This window comes from Homo sapiens, chromosome 4, assembly GCF_000001405.40.
Source record: "Homo sapiens chromosome 4, GRCh38.p14 Primary Assembly".
In the NCBI taxonomy this organism is placed as follows: Eukaryota; Metazoa; Chordata; class Mammalia; order Primates; family Hominidae; genus Homo; species Homo sapiens.
Window position 1 is genome coordinate 177,969,877 of NC_000004.12, and position 25,465 is coordinate 177,995,341.

Below are 25,465 nucleotides of genomic sequence, written 5' to 3' on the forward strand. Positions count from 1 at the left end.
GGTTGTTAGCATGGACTTTTCCAGTTACTAGCCTAATTTAAGGTTTCGTGGTATCACTAAAGCGCCTCTGCTTGGACTCCCTGCCATGACGTGGCTACAGGCACCCTTCCCCTGAGTACTACTCCCTGTATACCTCTGGTTTTTCAGGGGTCCCTTTCATGGAAAAACTCTTTTGAGTCTCACTGTATACACACATGATACTCTTGAGCAGGAATCACATTGGCTCCAGGCCGACACTTCCCTGCATGACAAATTATCTGAATTATAAGAAACATTTACCTATCATTTATCTTGACAGATTCTAGCAGTGAATTTCCTACCAAAGAATTATGGCAGAATTTCTTTCTTCTTGATGGCTAACCTTCAAACTCCATGAAACACAGATCAAGGTGACCTTTGTGAGTCACCTGTCTCTAGGCTTAAGCAGGTAGCATCTTTCCGGTCATCCACATTTGGAGAGAATATTGGAACTCAGCACAGCAGCAACACTCTCCAAAGTAATCTCTCAATCTCCATTCTCTCAAACTGATATGCCGAGCTACATTCAAAATCTGTACCTTTGTAGGCTCAGAATTTACTCGGATAACTGACATTTATTGTCAATTGGGGCCTGAGTCTAAATATCTAAGATGCCATTTGTGATTACCGGAAGCATCCACATCGCAATTTGCTCATGAATCAAAATTTCATAGTATTTGGAAAGATAGAATGAAATCATATTGATAGCATTGTCCTCATGCCTCATTCTAATGGTTAAAAACTGTAAACAATATATGTGCATAAAATACTCATTGGAAATTACAAATGCACATAGATATCTATATGTATATATGTATATGTTTATACACGCATGTATATGTATATGTACACATATTCATGTATATGAATATATGTACACATATACATGTATATGAATATATGTACACATATACATGCATGTATGCATATGTATATACATATGCATGCATGTATGCATATGTATATATATACACACATATGCATATGTGCATAAAATTCTCCTATATGCACATATACGTATATGTGTATATATATGCATATATATGCACATATACGTATAGGTGTATATATATGCACATATACGTATAGGTGTATATATATGCACATATACGTATAGGTGTATATATATGCACATATACGTATAGGTGTATATATATGCACATATATGTGCATAAAAGATATACATATGTATACATATATGTGTGTATATATATGTGTGTGTGCATATATATAGTGTTTTTCTTTGTTAAATGGTTTATAATAGTGCAATTTTCAATTTTGGTGTGAAGTATTAAGTAACTGATGTTAAGACAGAAATCTAAGAAAGTTATTTTAAACAGTAATATTTTGGCAATGCAAAGCTATCTAGTAATATTGCTCAGACAATACAAAGCTAGTTCTATTCATATTTGTCCTGCTGATCTGGAAGATAAAACTGATCCCTCCCTGCAAGGGCTGCACTAGCTGGAATGAGACATTGTGTTTGTAGAACCTATGATCTTCTTTACAGAGAAAAGCAATTCATAAAGTTAGAAAAGGGCATCATGTAAAATCCAACTCACATTTTGTAGAAATAGCATGAGGATTGCTGAGAGTGCTAAGAAAGAATAAATAATAGCAACAACCAAACCAAAAACAACAAGAAAAAAAATCCTATTCTCCATAGTTTATTCTTGAGAATATGACATGCAAAAAGTATGCCTCAGAAAATGTATCTTAAGGGGGAATGTTATTTGTGTATTTTTTTTCAAAAGGGCCATGTTCTTAACTGTTTTTGCACTGCATTTATATATTGTTAATGTCCTTTTATAACTTGAATATATCTTAATTCTACAGCCTATTTTGCATTAAGTGCTCTGGATCAAGGCATGCCAATATGCTATTTTTGATCTTGTATTTTAGTTTTGTCTTTTTCTTAATTCCAGGTAGCACACATGATTATTATGAGAAAATGTTTTAGATTTACCTGTATGTTAAACAATTTTATTTTTGTTGTTAACTCTTCTTTCATCTCAGCTTCTTTATAAGATTATTTTCCTTTTTCCTGAAGTATGCCTTTGTAGGTTCCTTCAGTGAAATTGTATTTACCGTGTTGATGAGTCAGTTTTTATTTTTCTGAAAGTGCATTTATTTCTCCTTTAGTCTTGAATACTTGCTTTGCTGGATTAAAAAGCTTACTTGATCCTAATTTGCAGGCATCAGGGCCTTAATTTGAAGAGACTTTCTTGTGGAGAAAATGTGTCTCCTGCTTCACTTGAGGACCATGAATTCCTAACAACGTGGTACCACTTTGTCTTCCTTTGAGAGGCCTGGTTAGTGTGAGAACCTCGTAGTCAGCTCTCCACCAAGGATATAAACAATGTTATTAGCGGCATCTTCCATTTCAGGAAGATATTACAATGGTTTTTACAAAGAGCATTTCACACAGGAGTATGTTCAAATTTTATTTGATCTGAGATATGAGGGTATACCTAAGGGTGTTCATGGTATACTGTGAAAAAATTTCTAAATTGTAAGTAATTTAAAAATAATAATAATGTTAACATACTAAAAATAAATTTAATAATTGTAGTAAAGTTTTTAAAGATTGTCAAAACCTTTTTCCCCTGCCTTCTTTGTACAAGGCTTAGGTGGTAGACTTGTTAAGTAGGGAAATGAGATATTCAAGTTTAATGCTTAAGGCACAATGGGTTAATGACTATAATAACAGGTAATACTCTTCAAACTGTTGTTTGATAATACATGGAATGACTAAGTTCATGTTAATAATGCACAATGGTCTTCAGTGGGGGAAGCAAGGGTAAAATTGAGATTTAACATAGAAACTACAGATTTAATATGTAGCATCACTTTACCACTCAAAATTTAATTTTCAGATCACAAATTTTATATCTATTTTGTTCTAATTTTAATTACTGCCTCCAGATTTCTTATGTAAATAAATTCTTATAGATGGTTAGATTATGTACCTCTCATTATTATTGTTTGTCCTAAAATGGAATCAGTTTACAGCTAGAAAGACATCATTACCAAACTGGATCTTATAGATGGATCCGCCAGATCTCAGTAGTTGTTCAGAGCTCCAGGGTCTGTCAGTCAGGATGGGGGGCCTAGAGAGCACTCTGCCATGTGGATGTGGCACATTCTGTAACCACATCTTGCTCAGATTACATGATACTTAAGACTCATCAAGCCAAACTTGAGAGGAGGTGGCTCTTTTGGCAAGATTTCTAGTGATCCCAGAATCTTTGTGAAGAGAAATTCTTATTTGTTTACAAAGCTATTATAATATGTATAAAACACTAAGATTTAATTTTATATTAATATTTGTAAGTATATTTTTGTTCTGGCATTTGATTAAAAAATATAATTCCAGAAAGTACATTTATAAATAATACATAACAACAGTCATATAAGCTTTTTTTTTTTTTGAGACGGAGTCTCACTCTGTTGCACAGGCTGGAGTGCAGTGGTGTGATCTTGGCTCACTGCAAGTTCTGCCTCCTGGGTTCACACCATTCTCCTGCCTCAGCCTCCCGAGTAGCTGGGACTACAGGCGCCCGCTACCACGCCCGGTTAATTTTTTTTGGATTTTTAGTAGAGACGAGGTTTCACCGTGTTAGCCATGATGGTCTCAATCTCCTGACCTCATGATCCGCCCGCCTCAGCCTCCCAAAGTGCTGGGATTACAGGCATGAGCCCCCGTGCCCGGCCTAAACATCTTTTAAAAATTTAATTCTACTCCTTATATGGCTGTCTTGGTCAGAATTGTTAAAATATAAATGTAATAAAAGCCCTAGCACCATCTTATATCTTATAAAGAAGAAAAATTACTTTTAGCTTTTATAGTGAAACCCACCAAAATGATTGAGTCTGACAGTATTTTTCAAAAACAATGTTAACAGTTTGACAGTATTTTTCATAAACAATATGGCCCACAAAAAGTGAACTAACAAAATTTCTTAAAATATTGGTAACTTCATTGATACACAGGAAGGTAGGTGGGCATTGGGTCTCCAACTTAAGCATTTATATGAAGCATTCCAAAATAGTTTCTTGTTTTGCTTTGAGAGATGTGCAAGTTCACCAACATAGAGAAAGTCTTCAGTTTTGAATCATTTTAGTGCTTTGTAATAGTAAATGGGCATAAATCAGGGCACTTGTATAATAATAGCCTACAGTAAAGAATAGATGTTTCAGCCGGGCGTGGTGGCTCACACCTGTAATCCCAGCACTTTGGGAGGCTGAGGTGGGTGGATCACCTAAGGTCAGGAGTTCAAGACTGGCCTGGCCAACATGGTGAAACCTCATCTCTACTAAAAATACAAAAATTAGCTGGGCATGGTGGTGGGCGCCTGTACTTCCAGCTACTCAGGAGGCTGAGGCAGGAGAATTGCTTGAACCCGTGTGGCGGAGGTTGCAGTGAACCGAGATAGCACCACTGTACTCCAGCCTGGGCAACAAAGTGAGACTCTGTCTCAAAAAAGAAAAGAATAGATGTTTCAAAGTGTTTTAAAGAATTATTTACTATCCATAATCTGGCTTTTTACATTCATTTTCTTATTTTTAAATCTAGCCCTTTGAAATTCATCAACTGTCATGTATTATTTTCAGATGAAAATAATGAGTGATTATTGAAAATGGAATTTAAAGTTCTCTGAATCAGATGGGAAACAAAAACTTGCCTTCAGTTTTTACAGATTCCACCAGACTGTAAAATTTGTGATGTCATAGATTTTCTCTGTTTTGTTTGCTGCTGTATCTCTAGTACCTACAAGAGTGACCCACACAGTGAATTCATGCATTACTGCATGCATGAATGAATAAATGTATAAAGAATCTCACATGTGGCCATTGCTCACTTATTCAGCTCACAACCGTGATACTCTGTGTCACATTATTTTATCTCCTCTCTCATTCTAACACCTAGCTTTTATAATATGCTTTTCCTAGCATTATAGTTACATTTAGACAGGTGATTTTATTTTAAAAATGCAAACCATTCTTTACAAATGCCACTCAAAGCCAATAAAGAATTAATCCCTTTAAGATATATACTTGCATATATTGAGACTTTCAAGCAGAGTCAGACTTTAAAGCCACCAAATGAAAGAGCTCTCATATGTGTCCTATTATCACAGAGGCTGAGTACCAGGATTTTACTTTTAAAATTTTTATATTCTGTCTCTCCCCTGCTCTTCTAAATAGAAGGGAAAAAGCCAGTATGTTGGCTATACAGTCTTTATGTTGCATTTTCTCAGAGAAATGTTGAACAGTTATGAATAGAAAGAGTAAGAACCCAAAAGCATGGCCTGAGTCATCCCTTGCTTGTCATTTTGTGGGGAAGTTGAGTCTCATCCTTATCAGTTCTGTTGCTAGCCTGGGAAGCTGAAACCACAGTCCCTTCCAAATGATAACCATAATTTTCTCCCTTCTACTTTATTTTCTCATTTTTTCATCTTATAATGAGCAGTTACAAAAACTTTTGGGTCCAAATGTTTTACCAAGTCAGTTAACTTACTTCTTAACCTTTTTGAATAGCCCATTTGAAGCCAGTTAACATTGTTGACTCTAAAAAGACTAAATATAAAGTTTTACTAAGATAAGTCATCATGTTGAATAAATACACAAATATGACCTTTGGTATGGATGTGCATATAAGCAGTGGGGTAAAAGCATCCTTGTATTTAAAAGTAAAGAATTCTGTACTACAAGTAGAAATCTACATGCAGAAACACACACACAGTCTGGCCGTAGCTACAGGTAGCATGCATGTTCCTTTTACATGTGAGTCAGAAAACCTGATTTTATTATGCTCTGTGTTATTCATCAAAGTAGTGAGGGCCTTTGGGATAGTGTGCATTCCTTGCAGAGAAAGCAAAACAAGCTGTTGAATTTTCTTTTCTTAGGAGAGAAGACAATGAGGTCAGCTAGAATGATGGATTGTCATCACTGGGGCACGGGAAAGGGGTTGAGCAAGTCAATGTATGTTTTCCAGAGCCTACAGAATGTGTCTGATTCTCTGAAGTATATTTTTTCTAAATGCCAGGTGAGTATGCAATGCTAATGTGAGGTAGAGATTATTGTCATAAGCATTATTACTTAACATGTTTTTCCTCTTATATGCTACACATTACGATATAAGCTTTAAAATATTATATTGGTTTGATTCTCACAACAAGCCTGTGAGTTTGGTATTGCTAGCAATAGTTAACATATTTGGAAAAGTCGGAAGAGAGAGATATAATAACTCGTACCCATGGAATTAATCAACCATTGATATATACAAGGAGACTGGTTATTTTAAACAAAGGGAAAGTGTGACTAAATAAAACTTTAAATGAAAAGGAGTGCAAAAATGCTATCGGGATCGGAGATACATTTTAAAAAATTTGCTATGTATTACAATTAAAAAATATATTAATGAAGTATTTTGAATAGAGTTTCCTAAGTCTAATAAATTTTGCCAGGGCATGAGTGACTAAAATACAAACAGGCTCCTCAACATATTCTCCTTCACTGTTTCATCAATGCCATACGTACTTATTAATGGTTAAGAAAAATACACCCTGCTATGGTTTATTGCCAAATAGCAAAGATGTAAATTACATCTCCGACACTGACATGCCACTACATTATTAACAGGGCCACGGAGGCCATTGAAAGTACACTGTATGCACATTTACAGTAGAGGACATATTAAATGGTAAGCTTTAGTATTTTAGTATATTTAATTTGGCACACTTGTTGCTGTTCTTTGTGAATGTTAATCTTTCAACCAATACAGCAGCATGTCAGTATCTTCATTTGCAGGGTATAATAGGCTTATATCCTGAAACAATAAACTTATAATAGCTTGTCTGTTGCTTGGTGGAGATGTGCGTATTCAGCACGAAGGTGTTGCATGCCCTATTTTTGCTCAAGGTTCTTTACACATGCCCTTCCTTTCCTGTCAGGAACACAAGCCACATTTATAAGTTTTTGCTATAATACCAACTACATAGTTTGGAAATTTTCCATTGTAGTACAATTCACTTTCTTTTTCCATTATTGATATAATTATAACTAGGTACATCTATATTTGAAATGTGAAGTGAGCATTAGACTGGTTTTTAATATTACATTGAGACTGATTTCTTTTTTTAGAGACAGAAGTAAGATTTGGAAAAGGTGCACGCTTGTAGTATAAAACAGAAATGTACATAAAAGATCTTAATACAGATTACTTCTTTCTACCAATGGTAATATTCAACTTGGTATTCATCAGTGGGAAGGTTTGAATCCATTCTATTTAACTACTTTCTTTTCTGACTAATTTCATCTCTGCAATACAGTAGATATATTATTAAGAACCAAAAATTGAAACAAAACATTTATAGGTCACTTAATAAAAGATTTCTCTTCCAAATATTCTAAAATGGTATTAACACATATTCTATTTAGAACCCTTACTTCCTGTGATCTGTTATATTAAAACAATTGAGGTATAAATTTCTAGATAAAAGGGCATTACTCTAAAATCCCTTTCAAAAGATTGCAGCCTCAGTTGTACACTCGCATCGAATGACCCCAGTGATTGTGCTGCTTCATTGCATTTTACTTCTGACATTTCTGTCCTATGCACAAGATTGAAAAAGATCAAATTTGATTTGTGGCAGTCACTACTTGTTATCTTCAAATAAGTATTTGCAGATTAAACAAAGCATGATTCTAGAAGTAAGCATTACTGAGCCTATTTTAGAAAGACTTTTGTAAAATTAACCCATTTTTTTTTACCATCAGACCTATGTGGTAGGACATAGAATGCCTGTCGCACATATTTCCAAATGAAGTGTGACTTTAGAATGTGCTCCTCATTATGCAGGTCCAACTCAGCATTTTAAAGCTTTTCAAATCAAGTGCATTGGCACCATACACTTAACTGAATTTTTCGAAGATTTTATGGTTATTATCTAAAATACTGTACTAGCCAATCTATTATTTTCTCAGATTGTGTTTCAGTTTTAGTGATTAAGTTTCTGTTTTGCAAATTGATACAATATTGAGGATTACATATATTTTAAACACACATACAGATAACACACACACACATTACCCCTATACTATTAAATCTAGAACTTACTGACCAGTGTAAGTTTTTCCTCTACCTTTGGGAACCTTGAGCATAATAGCTTTGTTCATTAGATTATACTATTAACTACAGATAATTAAATGTTACTTTAGAAACTGCTGTAATAAAGTGATTTAGGCTTACCAATTTAAATCATACAAGCCTTATTAAAATAGTAGTAAAATTCCATTTATCTCTTAAACAACTTTAAGGACTTTTTGGAAAAACAATAATGTATTTAGTATACTCCCCTTTAAAGGGGTTTCTGATTTTTTTTTTCTCAGCAGTCTAAAGGCAGCACAGAGCATTCCGTATATTAATTTCAAAACAGATTATGTTTCATATTAAATAGAAGATGACATATTTCAACTATTTTGTAGTGGAGAATAAAGCATGGAAATTTATCAGCCTGGCTATTCTATTGTGACTTTTTTTCTAAGTTGAAATGCTTCCAATGACATTCCCCAAAGAACGATTTTTACATGAATGATCCCATATATATGTGTGCATGAATATGTGTGTACATATATATGTAATTTATTTGGTAATTTTTTTTGGATTTTTAAAATTTTTTTTACTTTTGTAGAAATGAGGTCTTGCTATGTTGTCCAGACTGATCTCAAACTCCTGCTCTCAAGCAATCCTCCTACCTTGGCCTCCTGAAGTGCTAGGATTACAGGTGTGAGCCATTGCACCCAGCCAACTTTTGGTGCTTTTGAACACTACTCAGCTTTCCAAGAGGGATTCATGATGGGCATGACACCTCCAAAAAATAGAGTGACTTAGGGCAAAGATGGTAGACAATGTTTGCTTGTGTTAAGGAGTTTTGCCTCTCAAAAGTGCAAGGTTTTTTATAAAACATAGGAATAATTTTACTTTATAGGATTGATGCGTTAAATTTAAAATCTATGAAATGCCATTCACTATTCATGTCACATGGTAAATGCTCAATGAATGGTAGCTTTCATTAATATTACTAATAAGAAAGTAGTTGTTAAATATACAGATTCTATAGCCAAATTATTTCTCTACTATTTCTTAGCTATTTATCCTTTTCAAGTCAATTAACTTCTCAGAGCTGCAGGTTCCTCTTCTATAAAATAGAGATAAAACTTGCCTCTCAGTAATTAATATATACAGCATAAAGTGCACAACAAAACTATGAAAAGTGTTGCTCCTATTTTCTTGTCCCATAGAGGATGTGTCTTTAGTTATTGAAGGTTAACCAAGGAATTAGTAGTGTTTTGTGCAGAACCGGGTTGGAGGGGAGTCTGGAAAGACAACTAAGAAACAGGTAAACATTATAAAAGTTACCAGAAATATTACAAATGTTATTACTTCATGCCACTAATAATGCAGTTTAGAACTGAAGGAGCTGCACAACTTAGCCAAAATGTAACAAGAGGAGTTGAGGGAACATGGAAAGAACTGGATTATGAGAGTGCTTGGTCAAGATGGGTGGAGATTATGCCAGAAGTCAAGAAAGTTACTGGTATGGAAGCACCCACCTGTTACACAGGAGTTCCATCCTACCATGCATCCGGGATGGCTCTTAAAGCTGAGAGAGAGCCAACTATGAATGAAGGAGCAATGCTATTGTATGGCAGGGGGTTGAATAAGGGATAGATACAGACTGTGGGCTGCAATGGATGCTACAGGACGTTGCCCAAACCCCCTTTAAGACCGAAGCACTCGTTCTCCAACTGCTGGGAGTGTTGCTGGCTGATCACTGTAAGTGAGGTCTACCACCTTGGAATTGAAATCACCCACTGAAGAACAGAGTGGCTTCATCAAGTGTATGGAAAGCAGCCTCTACTCAATGTCTGTTTGATGTGGATGGTATAAAGATTTCTGCTCTTGTCTTCAAGGTGGGTCAGCTCTGAATGGACACTGGAGTCCGGCACTCCCTGTGGAGTCAGCTGAGGTCCTGGTTGTGACCGCATTGCAGTTTAACACCTCTTCTGCCAATCCTACTTTATTCTACTCCCTAACAGACTTTTTAGTTTTCCTTTTTGTAAAGATACATAACATAAAGTTTACCTTGTAACAATTTTTACATGTACAGTTCAGTGGCATTAAGTACACTTTTACTATTATTTTTCAACCATCACCACAATCCATCTCCAGGTCTTTTTCATTATCCCAAATTGAAATTTGTAACCTTTAAACAATACCTACCTATTCTCCCTACCCTCAGCTCTGGCAACCACCATTTTACTTTGTGTCTTTGTAACCCCAAGCCAATTTCCATCTTTTAATATTCATATTTAATATTTAATGATCAACTAAAATAAATTGAAATCAAATTATTGTATCAAATGTTTTTCAAAATAAAAAATTTTACCTGGGAATACAAAAATATATAAATATATTTTTATGAAGAACCCACAGTTTAGTTAAGAGGTCATAGTATGACAAACATCCAAGAATCTCATTTTTTTTCTCCTGTTTTTTTGTTAAATCTCCTGTTTTTTTCTTAAACTTTTCTATTGATGCTCACTTGATGTGTCATAATTTTAGCCAGATAATATTTTTGCATCTTTCTTTTACTGTCTCTTCATTATTTTGTTGGTAACACTCTTATAATTCATTTTTTAAAATACTTTGATTCTTGCATTCATTTACAGTTACAATTAGTTTGCACTCTCATTGATCTGTTTCTTGGCTCCTGTTACAGATTCCCTGGAACTAGTCCGCTACTTTTATCTGACTTATTTCCTGCTTTTCATGACCAGGTATCAAGCACACTCTCTTCCAGTTGTACAGTTGGAAAGACTGAACTCAAAGTCTGAACCTCCATGTTCAGAAATACTAACTAACTGTGCAAACTTGAATCAGCTTTTTCCTTCCAACTTTTATTTTAGGTTCAAGGGGTACGTGTGCCAGTTTGTTACACGGATAAATTGCAAGTCACAGGGGTTTGGTGTACAGATAATTTTGTTACCCACAATATCAGCATAATACCTGATGGGTAGTTTTTTAGTCCTCACCCTCCTCCCACCCTCCATCCTCATATAGGTCCCAGTGTCTGTTGTTCCCTTCTTTGTGTCCATGTATACTCAGTGTTTAGCTCCCACTTATAAGTGAGAAATGTGGTATTTGGTTTTCTGTTCCTGTGGAACCAATTCTTTAATGTATTTTAGCTTCATTTTCTACATATGTTAACTGGAAATCATCATCACTTCTCACTCAATACTATAGGTGACATAACACAGCCTACTTTTTATTTTAAAAAATTATTTTTAAGTTCCAGGGTACATGGGCAGGATGTGCAGATTAGAAAATTTTTTAAAAAATATTTTGTGTAAACAATTTAAGAAGAGTATAGAAGCCAGGATGTTTGCTGATATACATGACAGTTGATATTGGAATCTTTTGAATGTTCATATATGTGCCTACCCATTGAACAGCCTGGTTGCAAGAAGTTTAAGGCACTAGAGGAAATACACAGAGAAATTAGACACTGCAATTGTTAATAAAGCTCTGTGGTACCATGCCTAGTGGCTTCACAGCAAATAAGTAGGAATTAGTAGTCTTTTCTGGGTTCAGAGGCCGATTTAAAATTTTAGATTTTAATGTACTATGAGCTTTACACCTTCTAAGGTCTTTTGCAGTGCAATTTTGCCAATATTAATTATTCTGAACTTATCCTTGTAATTTGTATTTTTACATCTGCTATATCCTTTTGATTTATTGCTTTGATCTTATTTTAGGTTCAGCAATAAATTTTGGTTGAGGTCCTGATCACTCCAGTTAATTTAGTGAACTACAAGATATAAAATTATTTTAAGTAAAATCTCCTCACATTTTCACCGTGGTAGGGGTCAGGGAGAGTTCTTACATGAAATATTTAAGAAACATCTGACTATAACCCAACCAGCATGTGGAGAAATTACATTATTTCTTAGACTATTTTAACATCAAAGCTCTGAAGTGAAGGATAGTCATTAAAAGCCGAATTACTGAAAGCATATCTGGTTAGTGCACTTAAACACATTTCGGCAGACTAAAATAATTTAAAATCTGAAGTGAAGTGTGATCCAGAATCACATATGTCAATTACTATGTTGTCTGTGGTATTAAAAATGCATGCAGCTGGAAGCTTCAATTATATGAGATTTCTGACTTAGAGATGCTTTGACTTTTACTTTTTGAAAAAGTCACCTTTTCAGAAATCCAAGGGAAAACATTTGTAAAATGCATAGTGCCTTTTCCAATTACCTCTTATTGAAAGACAGAACAACACTAGAGAGTTATAAAAGTGAACTGAAAATATGATTTTGTATGAAATTTGATTAGTGTTTGTTGAAACCTTATCTAGGAAAAGTAAATCTTTGTGCCAGACTTTTCTTCCTCAAGTCCCGATCTCATTAAAACAAATGTGATCCAGTATTTTTTGTATTCTCTCATTATAATAAATTTAGAGTTTAAAATTATATTTTTCAAGTAAATTTTGGACTTATATCTCACAAATAGGTAATATTTATTTTCTTCCCATTAAAACAAAGGCACGCAAAATTAAAATATGATATATATCATATATAAATATAAATATTACAGGCTTTTTATTGTGCATTTCCTGTATGTCACCAGATCCTTTTTTTAAAATTATCTTATATAAAGCTACATGAGTTGCTTCTAAATATGTGACTAATAGTTACATTATTAGAGTGATGGCACTAAAACATGGACTGCTATGGTTTAAATATGTCCCTAAATTCAGATGTTGAATCTTAGTGGACAGCTGGGTATGGTGGCTCATGCCTGTAATCTCAGCACTTTGGGAAGCTGAGGTGGGTGGATCACCTGAGGTCAGGAGTTTGAGACCAGCCTGGCCAACATGGCAAAACCCTGTTTCTACTAAAAATACAAAAATTAGCCAAGTGTGGTGGTGTGCGCCTGTAATCCCAGCTACTAGGGAGGCTGAGGCATGAGAATTGCTTGAACCTGGGAGGTGGAGGTTGCAGTGAGCCGAGGTGGTGCTAATGCACTTCAGCCTGGGCAACAGTAAGATTTCGTCTCACAAAAAAAGAAAGAAAAAGAAAGAAACTTAGTGGCCCTAGTGATGGTACTAGGAGGTGGGGTCCTCAGGAGGTGATTAAGTCGTGAGGGTAGAGCCTACCTGAGTGGAATTAGATACCTTTATAAAAGGGCATGCTGGAAAGAGTGTATCGCTTTTCCTTTTGCACCTTCTGCCCTGTGAGGACACAGCATCCTTCCCATACTGAGGATGCAATGTTCAAGGCAGCACCTGGAAAAGCAGAGACTGGACTCTCACCAGACACCTGACCTGCCGGCACCTTGATCTTAGACTTCTGAACTTCCAGAACTATATAAGAAATAAGTTTCTGTTCGTTATATTACCTGATATGTGGCATTGTATTATAGTAGCACAAAACAAACTAAGAAATGGACCTTGAGAAATCATGAAACCATCCCTTAAAACAAACAACAAAAAATCCCAGTAACATATATTTTTATTTTTTAGGGAACAGATGATGTTTTTAAAAACCATGTTGTCTTCAGATTTCAAGTCAGTTTAGGTCTCAGATACAGATAAGGAACATGACATTTCTGAAGCACATATTTTTTCCTTAAAAAAATCTGTGTTATTTGCAAAAGATCTAGTCCCTCTGATTTCTATTTGCTGGAATGTCCTTCCTTTTTTCCGTCTCCAAATTCCCAGGCACAATGCAGCCCTTCACACTTCCTGGGGAAGCAAGCTGCACAGTGACCCAAACCACACTCATGTATGTTGGAGTGGTTCACTGATTTGATGGTTTTCTCTCGTATAAATGATATTTTTCATCTCCAAAAATGAGCCTGGGCTGACTTTTGTTCAGAATCAAAGAGAGTGTTGGAATAAATCTCCTCTTCAAGTAGCAGGAGAAAATCAAATGTATCTCTCATTAAATAAAAAGTCAGTGTGAGTTTTGGAACTCTTCCTATTAGCTACAAAACATGTCTTATAGGATCCAGAATGAGGATGTGAAAGAAAAAAATGACCTAATTTTCTAAAGGGATTTTCACATAATAGTTGTTCGGTAGAGTGCCATTGAAAAGGTCTATCAAGTAGAGAAGATATTGATATTCTTTAAGTGATGAGGAAAAGTGACATTCTTTTCACAGCTATAAATTCAGTCTTTGGCCAACATTCTTTTTATTCATTTCAGGTCTTGTTTTTTTTTTTTTCTTATAAAAATGTGAGAACATGGCATCGTTTTCAATTGGATATTTTACCTTATGTGGCATGAATTATCACTTTCCTCACTGAACGGCATGCACATTGCTATTTCTTGGATTGCACATATATTTGTGGTTTTTATTTAAGGTCAGGAATTCAAGGCCCCAAGCATGGGATGAGATTCCCCTTAGGCAGCATTGTGACACCAACATCTCCCATTCTGCACACTGCCACTGCCTTCTCCCCAAAAATATACTTCATTTTTCCTGAAATAGTTAAGTAAAATGGCTATTCTCCAGATAATTTTAAACCAATCTAAAAGCAAACAATTTAGTCGTTTTCCATCTTTTCCCCACCTGTGCTATAGAAGTTACCAGTATTTGAAACTGTGGCCTTAAGCCTCAGCAGTTTTGGTGCTCCCTTTTCAGTGGAATAATTATACCAAGGAACAAGCTGACCAGGTTTTGAATGGAAATGTGCCTGCTACTGTAAAAGCAGGCCAGGGGATTCTGGTCACTCTGCATGCTTTCACCCAAGACCATTTTTATCATGTTGATTCTAATCATGGGTGTAGTCACGTAAAGTCCAATGTTCGAGTTTTGCAGTACCCCCAAGAAGACTGAAGACTGGTATCATGAAATCCTTCTAATGTTAAAAATAATTTTAATGAATTGTGGCATTTACCTTAATGTTTTGGGGTTTTTATTTTAGAAGATTTTGACAGGGGAGTAATTCCTATGTTTTTAATTACACTACTTCATAGCCAAACAGTATCTTGGAACTTGCCTTTTTCTATACCTATTTAGCTGACGCTAAATCAATTGAGGAATGTCCCAAGAATATTTAGCATGTTATTGGTCCAGCTAGAGTTGTCTTCAGTTCTATTCTAACATTGTTTTCTGCTGTACTAGGTTGTACATTTTACAAACAAAAATGGGTTTCCAAAGATATTATATTAGGAGATTCCCTAAAATGTCAATAATAAAGAAAACCATGACTTTATTACTCTCTTCACAAATCTTAATTCCTATATAGAGCAATTAAAATCATGCTGTTATCTGATCAACGGACAACAGCTGAAGCAGAGAATGCCTGGGCCTCCATACTCCCTGTTAGAACAAGGTGCTCTGTGGTGTCATGCTGACAGGGCCTGGGAACAGAAGACCTGTCTATCTGTAAACTACATAGTGGTTGTTGGATCTGAAGCCAAGCACTTAACCTCTATTTGAGAAAAGATTACTCACATATGTAAAATGAAGGAAATATCTTACCTGCTTCACAGAATGGTAGTTTGATAATACTTATAAAATATTGTATAAAGGTATAGTTTTGAAATTTAAAAAATCATGTAATGTCAAATTATCGAGGATAATTATCAGCACGATCTGCTCAGCAGAAATATGGCACTTGCCTGTTACCCCACCTTGTACTATATATAAGACCCTAGATTTCTGTTCCCTGATTGAAATATCTAAAGCAAGCAGATATACAATCCTTGGGAGAGCCATTTTTTTTTCAATATCCAGGTTTAGGCAAGTGATATAGCACTGTGCAAGCATTTTAGAGCCAAAGTCAACGAACTAAATCATTAAGAGACTCTCTAAAAACAAATTTACCTATGTTTTGTAACCAACTTTTTATGTTACGGTGACAGATAACTCATGGAACTTGAGCTTCTACCTAAACATTTTCAGTTCCACCTTGTCACATCATAGAAGTGTGTTTTTTAAACCTCTGGTGTGATTTTTATCATTTACTGATTTCAATACAGTGGTATCTCCTTAGAACAGATTAAACCTTCATGCATTTTAACGTATTCTCCTGAAAGTATTAGACCTTTATCACTACGTCTAGAAAGAAATGTGTATTTGGAGGAATATTTCTTCTTTTTAATAAATATGCCCCTATTCATGTTGCAGTGCCATTCCTCTAAATTTATATAGCATATTTTTGTATCCTGTCATCATGGCATTTGTTTTGTGATTGGCCTGTATTTTCCCAGGTAGTAATTACTTTACATACTAATTTGCTACACACACACACACACACATTCACACATACACATAATTTGCTTGCTTATATATTTATTCTGTATAAATATCCTGATACAGGCTACTTTTTCCTAACAAGTATTTTTACCACCCATTTGTTAAAATCATGCAGGCATTCATTTGATTCATGCAGCTGGTGATAAACCAGCTCTATTTGCAGGCCTCACGCATGCATTTGGCTATGTCAAGTGACATGATTCAGTTATAAGTGCATTCAAGCATACATTTACCTCTGAATCCTTGAGTGTTCTTGAAGCAAGCCACAGAGCTAGCTGTACTGCACTGCTTCATAGATGAAACTCTAAATCAATAGTTTTCAGAGGTATGAATATATATAATTATTGTGTGATATTATTTCATGTTTCAAAGGCTATAAAAAGTAGATTTCTCAGATCAGAAGATGTGACACATTTACACATGAAGGATACTTTCTAATACTCTTATCCTCTCTGAAAATCTATGTAAATTGTAACTGCTAACAAGAACACTGATATTCACATATAGTCTTACATGAGAATTTCATGTTTATATACAGAAGCAATAGATTCAATACGTACTCAATGCATTCTATATATTAAGGTTTGAGATACATACAAGCTAAAAGAAGACAAAGACTGTAGCATTAAAACAAAGAGCTTTCCAAGTTAATAAATAATTTTAGTTATAAAGGTAATTACAACTTACTGTTATTTGGAAATAGAGACTAGTAGCTACCACTTCTTTTTCTTTTCACTTTTTTCTTTCTTTTTTCTTTTTTGGGTACATAGTAGTTGTACATATTTATGGGATTCATGTGATATTTTCACACAAGCAAACAATGTGTCATACTCAAATCAGGGTAATTGGGATATTCATGACCTCAAGTATTTATCATTTATTTTTTCTTTTATTTTTATCATACCACTTATCACTACTTGACATTTTCTTATTTATCCATTTTCTTATTGTCTATATCCTTCTAGAATGTAAGTAAGTGTCATGAGGGTATGGACATTTTTTGCCCTGTTCAATGCTCTATCTAAGATGTTCAGAAAAATTCCTAGCACGTAGTGCTAAGTAAATATTAAATTATGAAGAAAATATAACAGGGTTCACAATTTTAGTTTCTGGAATTTTCCAAAATTATATGTCATTATTATTATTATGCTTTTTTTAAAGCTACAATAATTATATCTTTTACTTGGTTTTTATTATTTTTAAACTTTACATATATATGTGCATATTTATGTAGCATTATGTTCACATTCTTATATTTTGAAGGAACAATAGCAAACTTAAAGATGCCTCAAAGATATATAATATATAATACATACTATTCCCCAAAGAGGTAAGAATAGAGATGGAGTAGGCAATACCAATACTAAGGAAGTCAGCAGAGAGTAGAGCATTTTTATTTCTGGGAAAGGGAACCACAGAAGAAATACTGCCTAGTCACTTAGTCAGTTGTTTTCCTGCATAAATCTGTCAGAAGAAAGAATCAAAGATAATGTGTGAAAAAGTCCCACATATATTACAGAAACATTTGAAAAGTTACTACTATAAGAAGTAGTGAGTAGGGTGAATTATGAGCTTATTTCAAGACTCTAATCTGGTAATGCTCTCTCCCTGAAACATAATTTTAAGGCTTTGATGGTTTTACTCCTACAATTTAAAAAAAGAGAAGAGTGTATCCAAAATATACAAAGAACTCTTAAAATTCAACAGTAAGAAAACAAACTAATTTAAAGTGGTCAAAAGATCTGCTTTACCAAGAAAGATATACGAATGGAAATAAGCATATGAAAAGATGCTCAACATTTATCCTTAGGAATTTGCAAATTATAATAACAATAAGATGCCACTATACACCTAAGAGAATGGCTAAAACAAAAACAAATAAACCAAAAAACCCTGACAATACCAAAATCTGGCTATGGTGCAGAGCAACAAGAACTCTCATTCATTACTGGTAGGAATGTAAAATGGTATAGTCACTTTGGAAGAGTTTGGCAGTTTCTTACAAAGCTAGAAATATAGTCTTTTCATATGATTTAACAATTGCATGCCTACATATCTTTTGTGCATTTACACAGTGATGAAATATTCCATGTTAAAAAGAAATGTGTAATCAGGTCACCAAAGGATAAGAATAAATCTTAAATGCACATTGGTAAATGAAAGAAGCCAGTCTGGAAAATGTCACATACTGTATAATCCAACTATATGGTATTCTAGAAAACGCAAACTACAGAAACCATAAAAAGACCAGTTGCTTGCCAAGAGACCAAGGGGAGGGGGTAGGTAAAAAGTAGAGCATAGGGGGTCTTTAGGGTAGTGAATCTATACTCAATGATGCTTTAATAGTAGATACATGGCATTTTGCCTGTGTCAAAACCCTCAGACCTTTATAGCACAAAGAGTGAACATTAATAAAGAAAACAACCATTTGGGAAGTCAAGGAATCCCAGGAAAGATACAGGTTGAGACATGAGAATCTAAGCGTATTGCAATTGTATGAAACAGCCTCGATGAAGAGGTTCAGTTTGGGGAGATACTGATGTAAGTAACTTTGAAAAAAATGAAATCCAAAAAGGCAAAAGGAAATTCACATAAACCTGTACCATAGTTAACAAAATTACTTTTCATGGGAGTAGAGCTTCATTCTGAAACTGCTTTTTGGGGATATAGAATTGATCAATTAAGTAAATGGATGACACATGGTGGGAGGCGGGATTCCCATGGCTGAAGTGTGAATTTACAGATAAGCAAGGAAAGGAGGGTAAAATAATCCACGTGGTAATGAAATTAATTTGAAGCCATAAGTACACATGTTTAACCTAATACAGATGATTTCATAGAGAAATACTTTAGATAAACGTATATACACAGGTTAGTATACACGTATGGATTTCTCTGTCCATTTAAATGAGAGGATCTGTAAGAAATGACACACCAGTAGCAATGAGCATGCCTAGTGCTCAGATCTTAGTTTCTCCTAACATTCTTTAATAAAAAATGACCCATTGGACCTACGAGAAATGGCTGATTATAGGGCTGTGATAGTAAATATACAAAATGTGTCTGTAGTACTTTGTAATTTCAGAAAATTCTAAACACACGCACACACACAACTTTGATTGGGAGTATGTCAAAGGAGCACAAGAGCAAACTAAAGAGCTCCCAATGTCCAAAGTGCAATGCTAGAGGAATTTGAGCAACAAAATAAATAAAATAGTATTAGATTATGTCAACATATAAAATGGATATTCCTGACTCTATATATTTACAGTAAAGTATTGAACAAATTAACAGAGAGAACTTAAAATCTCCCATGCAGAATAATATTTTTAAATAACTTATGTAGGTACTCCATCCTCAAGGAGGGAAAGCACATCTCCTCACTTGTTAAATGTGTGCTGCACAAAGTAACTTCCTTCCAGAGCCCAGCACAGAAACAGGATAGAAAAGGGGTAATTTTACAGTGCAGAAAAATGACAAACACCTTCTCAGCCAGGTGATAAAGGTCAACATTAACAGTGATAAATCACGTTGTTAGTTTGCACTCTTCACATAATGCGATGAATATGGCACTTTATTTCTCTGACCTTTCCCCCCAGACCCATAACCCCAATCCAATCATGAAAAAAACAAATTCCAATAGAGGAACATCCTACAAAATTCTTGACCATTACTCCTCAAAGCTGTCAAGGTCATCAAAATAAAGTCTGAAAAACTGTCATAGCTAACAGAAGCCTAAGGACAGATGGCAATTAAATTTAATGTGGTGTCCTGGATGGGCTCTCTTAACAGAAAAAAGGACATTAGGGGGAAAACTAATGACATGTGAATAAAGTCTAGACCAGAGTTAATAATAATGCATCAATATTGGCTGACTAATTGTGACAAATATCTCGTACTAATGTAAAATGTTACTATTAGGAGAAACTGGGTACGGGGTAAATGGGAACTCTCTGTACTACTTCTCAATTTTTCTGTCAACATAAACCTGTTCTAACAAATCAAGTGTATTTGTAAATGGTAGGCAGAAGATAAACATCACTCTGAGGTAACTAGAATGCTATTTTTGAAGCTGAATAACTTGTTTTCTAAAATACTGAGTAACATTAATCAAAAGATTATGATGCACAATTGTTTACCCTGTGAGCTGCATGTGACTCTATTCCTGAGCTGATCACCAACTCAACAATTTTTCTTATGTTCAAACTTGCAGAACCTAATAATGTACATGTTTTATTCTAGATTCAAGCATTAAGCACTGTGCAGTTTTGAGAGAAGAAGTTATAAAGCAAAACTGACTTGAGTAACCACCAGCCCAACATTCGGGACTTTGTGGGGATTGCTATGGCTCTGCCGGACTTACAAGCAATAGTGATGCAGAACCTGTCATTAGCATGTGTAATGCTTGTCAAAAAATAATCTCCCAAGAAATGTTTTAATTTTCACTGGTCAGTGCACTACCAATACTAGTTTTGGCATGGCGGATAATAAATAACAAACCTTTGTTTCGAATACATGTTTGTCCAGTTTCTACTTTTTGCTAAATCCTGTGACCATGTGCTCCCACTTGATAGCATGTTATATGGTACTAGTAAATTTTACTTGCTGTTTAATAAAGGAGGATTAAATGAATGCTGTGCTACAGTGGGTATACTGACAGGGAAGGCATGATAGAAAACTGTCTAAATACAACTGAGGGAAGAAGAAAGTGTTGAAGGGAAGGTGAAAATGTGCACTGAGGTTTGATGGGTGAGTAGGACTTCAGAGAGTGGAGAAGGCCCTATGGCTTTTTAATGGAAACAATAGCATGAGATAAATGTCAGGGCTATGGAAACGCATACTGCACCAGGGCAATGGTTGTAAGTCTGAGATGGTTGAAGAACAGGGTTTAGGAAGAGATACCGTGAAAAGTAAAGCTTAGAACTGAGACAAACTGTCTCCAGCTCTGGATTCTCAGTTATTCCATTTGAAACCTAGTAATATAAACAACTTGAATCCATTACAAAGGTTTTGATCTGACTTGGGCTTTGGAAAGAGATTTCTGACTTTCTGTAGCTCAAAACTCTAAGCAACTTAGTTTTCTTCTCTACTCTTTTTTTCTAAAATAAGGATAATGATACCCATCTGACTGAAATTTTATGAGCATAATGCAAAATTCAACATGGAATCCATGGTGCTTTACAAAATAATGTGTGTTGTCTCTCCACAGAATGAAGTAGTATTTGATACTATTAACATAGAATTCATGAAAATAGAAAAAAGAACACTTCTTGAGTGGTGAAAACTTCCCAGTATGGTAAAAGTTAATTAGAATTTGTGTGAATTATACTGTGTAATTACCAAGGCAAGCAGAGTATTAATATGAATTTAAAATAGTAAGAGTAAGATTAAAGGCATATAATTTAGTTCAAATGTGACATCTTGACAACCTGCAAAAATTGCTAGAAATGAATGGTTCTTAATATTAAGAAATATAATAAGGATTGGTTGATTATTTAATAATTTAGATAATTTACATAAGAGTTATTGCAATGTGGGAACAGTGTTCTTGTTAACTGATTGTATTGTGTGGTTATGTTACCGACTACAAAAATTTAAACTAAGGGGAAAGAATCACTTTACTCTCTTTTTATGTGAAACGACATTACTCTCACTGTATTGTTATAGTTGTAAATCCTAATATTTTGTCAAGTAGAAAACATAATCTCTAGGTGTTATGTGGTTCCTTGACTTAATCTAGTCCTGATGTACTAGCCCTTATTATTATTTTTAAGCCTGTTGATTTTCCTTGGTCCATAATCAATCTTATATTTGACATTTTAAAAAACTTAAAAAGTTTTATATGTATATTATATATATATAACTCATCAAATGAGTTTTATATATATAAATGAGATATATATAAATATAAATATATATATACACATACACACACACACACACACACACACACACACACCTCATTTGATGACCTGAAAGCATGAAAGCATATACTGTATGTTCTGGACTTGGGTTTATGGAATAAAAATGTATGATTTTTAGGAAAATGTTATGTTTCTGGTCCAGCTGTATTCTGTTCACTCATTCCCCAAGTTAAATAAAATAATTTGTGTTCATTTTGTTTCTGAGTTAGTTTTCATCGTATAAAATTGGAATGATCCTAATTTTGACTCCTTAAACAATGTTAAAGGAATAAACCATGCTATTTTTTTTAAAGAAAAGCTACTTCAAATTCCTATGCTTTGTAAGATACAGTGGATCAATATAAATGAGCAAGGACGTATAGACCAATTTATTTAATGTGTCCAAGGAAATAGTACATTTCACATTTGTGCTATTTTCAAAGTGATCCTGGTTAATTAAAAAACAACCACAACAACAAAAATTCAAAGACTATAAGCCTAACTTGATCCTTCAAAGCTGTAAAAAAAAAGTGTGATTAAATATCCAAACAGAGTTTCTATGTTTTGTTACTGTGGCTGTCTCTTTGATATAGGTATTACTGAAGTATGTGAAACAATAGAAATTCTTAAATGCATTTAAGCTGGTCTATGAATTTATAAGGTCTATGAATTTAGGCTAAACATGTAACAAATCTGCACTGTTAAGCAACAATAAAACATACACTTATTCAAGTAAATACAAAGAAACAATGACATCTCTCAGGAAGAGAAAGAAAATAAGATTGGATAAATTTTAAAAATGATACCTCTAATTTTATTTTTGCTCATTCTTTTATAGTGTGATATGTTTTTTAGAAATCATGTCTTGATATTTCTTTTAACATCTCAAATTGGCTCTTTCTTATGATTTTCTATTTCTGTAAATGTTTAGTTGTGATAGAGTTCTCTACATTCATATATATGTATATATATGTGTGTATATGCATGCATATATATACATGTGTATATCACCAACATCGTTTTTTTGTTGGTAACCATAACAAACATAAAAATGTAATTTTATATACTTTATATGTTTACAATATTAAAGCCTTAAAATATGTTCTATATAATCGGTAATATATGCCAAGTAATATATAATGTGGGATATATTTAATGTATAATATATAGATATGAAATATGATAGAAAATGTATAATAATAACATAGAATATATTAGGAGTCCTATATTGTCTATTCTGAATTACATATATAATCATGTCTTATTTATTTATAACAAACCAAAATAAATGATAATTAAAGCAGAAAGCCTGCTTTGCTTAGATAAAATTCACACTAATTTTTAGCTAAAATTTTATGTTGTCATAAAGAGATGATTTAAAATCTACGGAGTGAGTTAAGGGTCTGATGTCACTCTTCTGCATGGGGATATTCAGTTTTCTCAAGACCACCTACTAAAGAGAGATTCTTTTCCCCATGGTGTGTTCTTGGCATTTTTGTTGAAAAATCATTGGATTAAAGACTTAAATGAAAGACCTGAAACTGAAATTACAAGAGGAAAACACAGGGGAAACCTAAACAATATGTGTCTGAGCAATAATTTTTTTATTTAACCCCCAAAAGTCAGGCTACAAAAGCAAAAATAAACAAATGGGATTTTTTCAAACTGAAAAGATTTTGCACAGCAAAAGAAACAATCAATAAAGAAAAGAGGCAACCTACAAAATAGGATAAAATATGTGTACATTGTGTATTTGTACAAGGGGTTAATATTCAAAATATATCAGGAACTCAAATGCATTACAGCAAGAAAATAAATAATGCATTTAAAAAAATGAGCAAAGGACCTGAATAAAGATTGTTTAAAAGAAGACATACAGTGGCCAAAAGACATATTAAAAATGCTCATTATCACTAATCATCAGGGAAACGCAAATGGAAACCACAATGAGAATCACCTCATGTCTATTAGAATAGCCATTTTCCAAAAGATGAAAGAGAAGTGTTGGTGAGGATGTACAGAAAAGGAAATCCTTGAACACTGTTGGTGGGAATGCAAATTAATTCAGCCATTATGGGAGCAGTATGGAAATTCCTTAAAAAATTATATAACAAAACCTGAATATGATCCAGCAATCCCACTGCTTGATATGTATCTAAAAGAAAAGGCAATCAGTATATCCAAGACATATCTGCACTGCTGTGTTCACTGTGGCATTATTCATAATAGTTAAGTTATGGAGTCAACCTAAGCATCCACCAATGGATAAATGGATAAAGAAAATGTGATATACAGGCTGGGTACAGTGACTCATGCCTGTGATCCAAGCACTTTGGGAGACTGAAGCTGCAAGATTGCTTGAGGCCAGGAGTCCGAGACCAGCCTAGGCAACACAGTGAAAACCCATCTATACAAAAAAACCGTAAAAATTAGCTGAGCATGGTGGTATGTACCTACAGTTTCAAGTACTACTATACAAATTCTAAAATTTGTATGTAGAAAATACCAGTTATATGACTCGGGAGGATCCCTTGAGACTAGGAAGTTGAGGCTGCAGTGAACCATGATGGTACCACTGCACTCCAGCCTGGATGACAGAGAAAGACCCACTCCACCTTAAAAAAAAAAAAAAAAAAGAAAAGAAAGAAAAAAATGTGATATACATACACAATGGAATACTATTCTGCCTTAAAAAATTGTCACTTGTGACTACATGAATGAACTTGAAGGACATTATATTAAGTGAAATAATCCAGGCACAGAAAGACAAATACAGCATGTTCTCATATGTGGGAACAAAAACAATGAAACTCACAGAAGCAGAGAGTAGGATGGTGAACTACCAGGGGATGGCAGGTGGGGATCTGGGGGAGATGTTGGTTTAAGGGTACAAAATTTCAGGAACACGAGATGAATAAGTTCAAGAAATCTATTGTACCGCATAGTGGCTATAGTTAATAACAATGTATTGTATACTGGAAAATTGCTGAGAGTAGGTTTTAAGTGTTTTCACCACAAAAAATTATGTAAGGTACTGCATATTAACTAGCCATTTCATAATGTATACTCTACAAAAATAATGTTGCCCTATATATATATATCTATCTATATATATATATATATATATATTTGTCAATTAAAAATGTTTACTTAAAATTTGTATGTAGAAACTACCAGTTATTTTGAAAACCTTGAATTTATA

General features: G+C 34.2%; 1 long non-coding RNA gene across 1 annotated transcript in view, besides 1 other annotated feature; it reads left to right on the forward strand.

Annotated features, from left to right (window-relative positions):
* The window catches only part of LINC01098 (long intergenic non-protein coding RNA 1098), a 261,994-nt gene extending 241,120 nt beyond the window's left edge, over nucleotides 1-20,874 (forward strand). The window contains 2 exon segments of the long non-coding RNA NR_028342.1: nucleotides 5,928-6,067; nucleotides 20,603-20,874. This is a non-coding gene — a long non-coding RNA (long intergenic non-protein coding RNA 1098).
* Nucleotides 5,266-5,466: a silencer, noted in NCBI's record as "peak5154 fragment used in MPRA reporter construct". NCBI's record gives its function as "represses an SCP1 promoter by STARR-seq MPRAs in K562 erythroleukemia cells {active_cell/tissue: K562}" and the evidence as "EXISTENCE:reporter gene assay evidence [ECO:0000049][PMID:32103011]".
* Nucleotides 20,875-25,465: the final 4,591 nt, after the last annotated feature.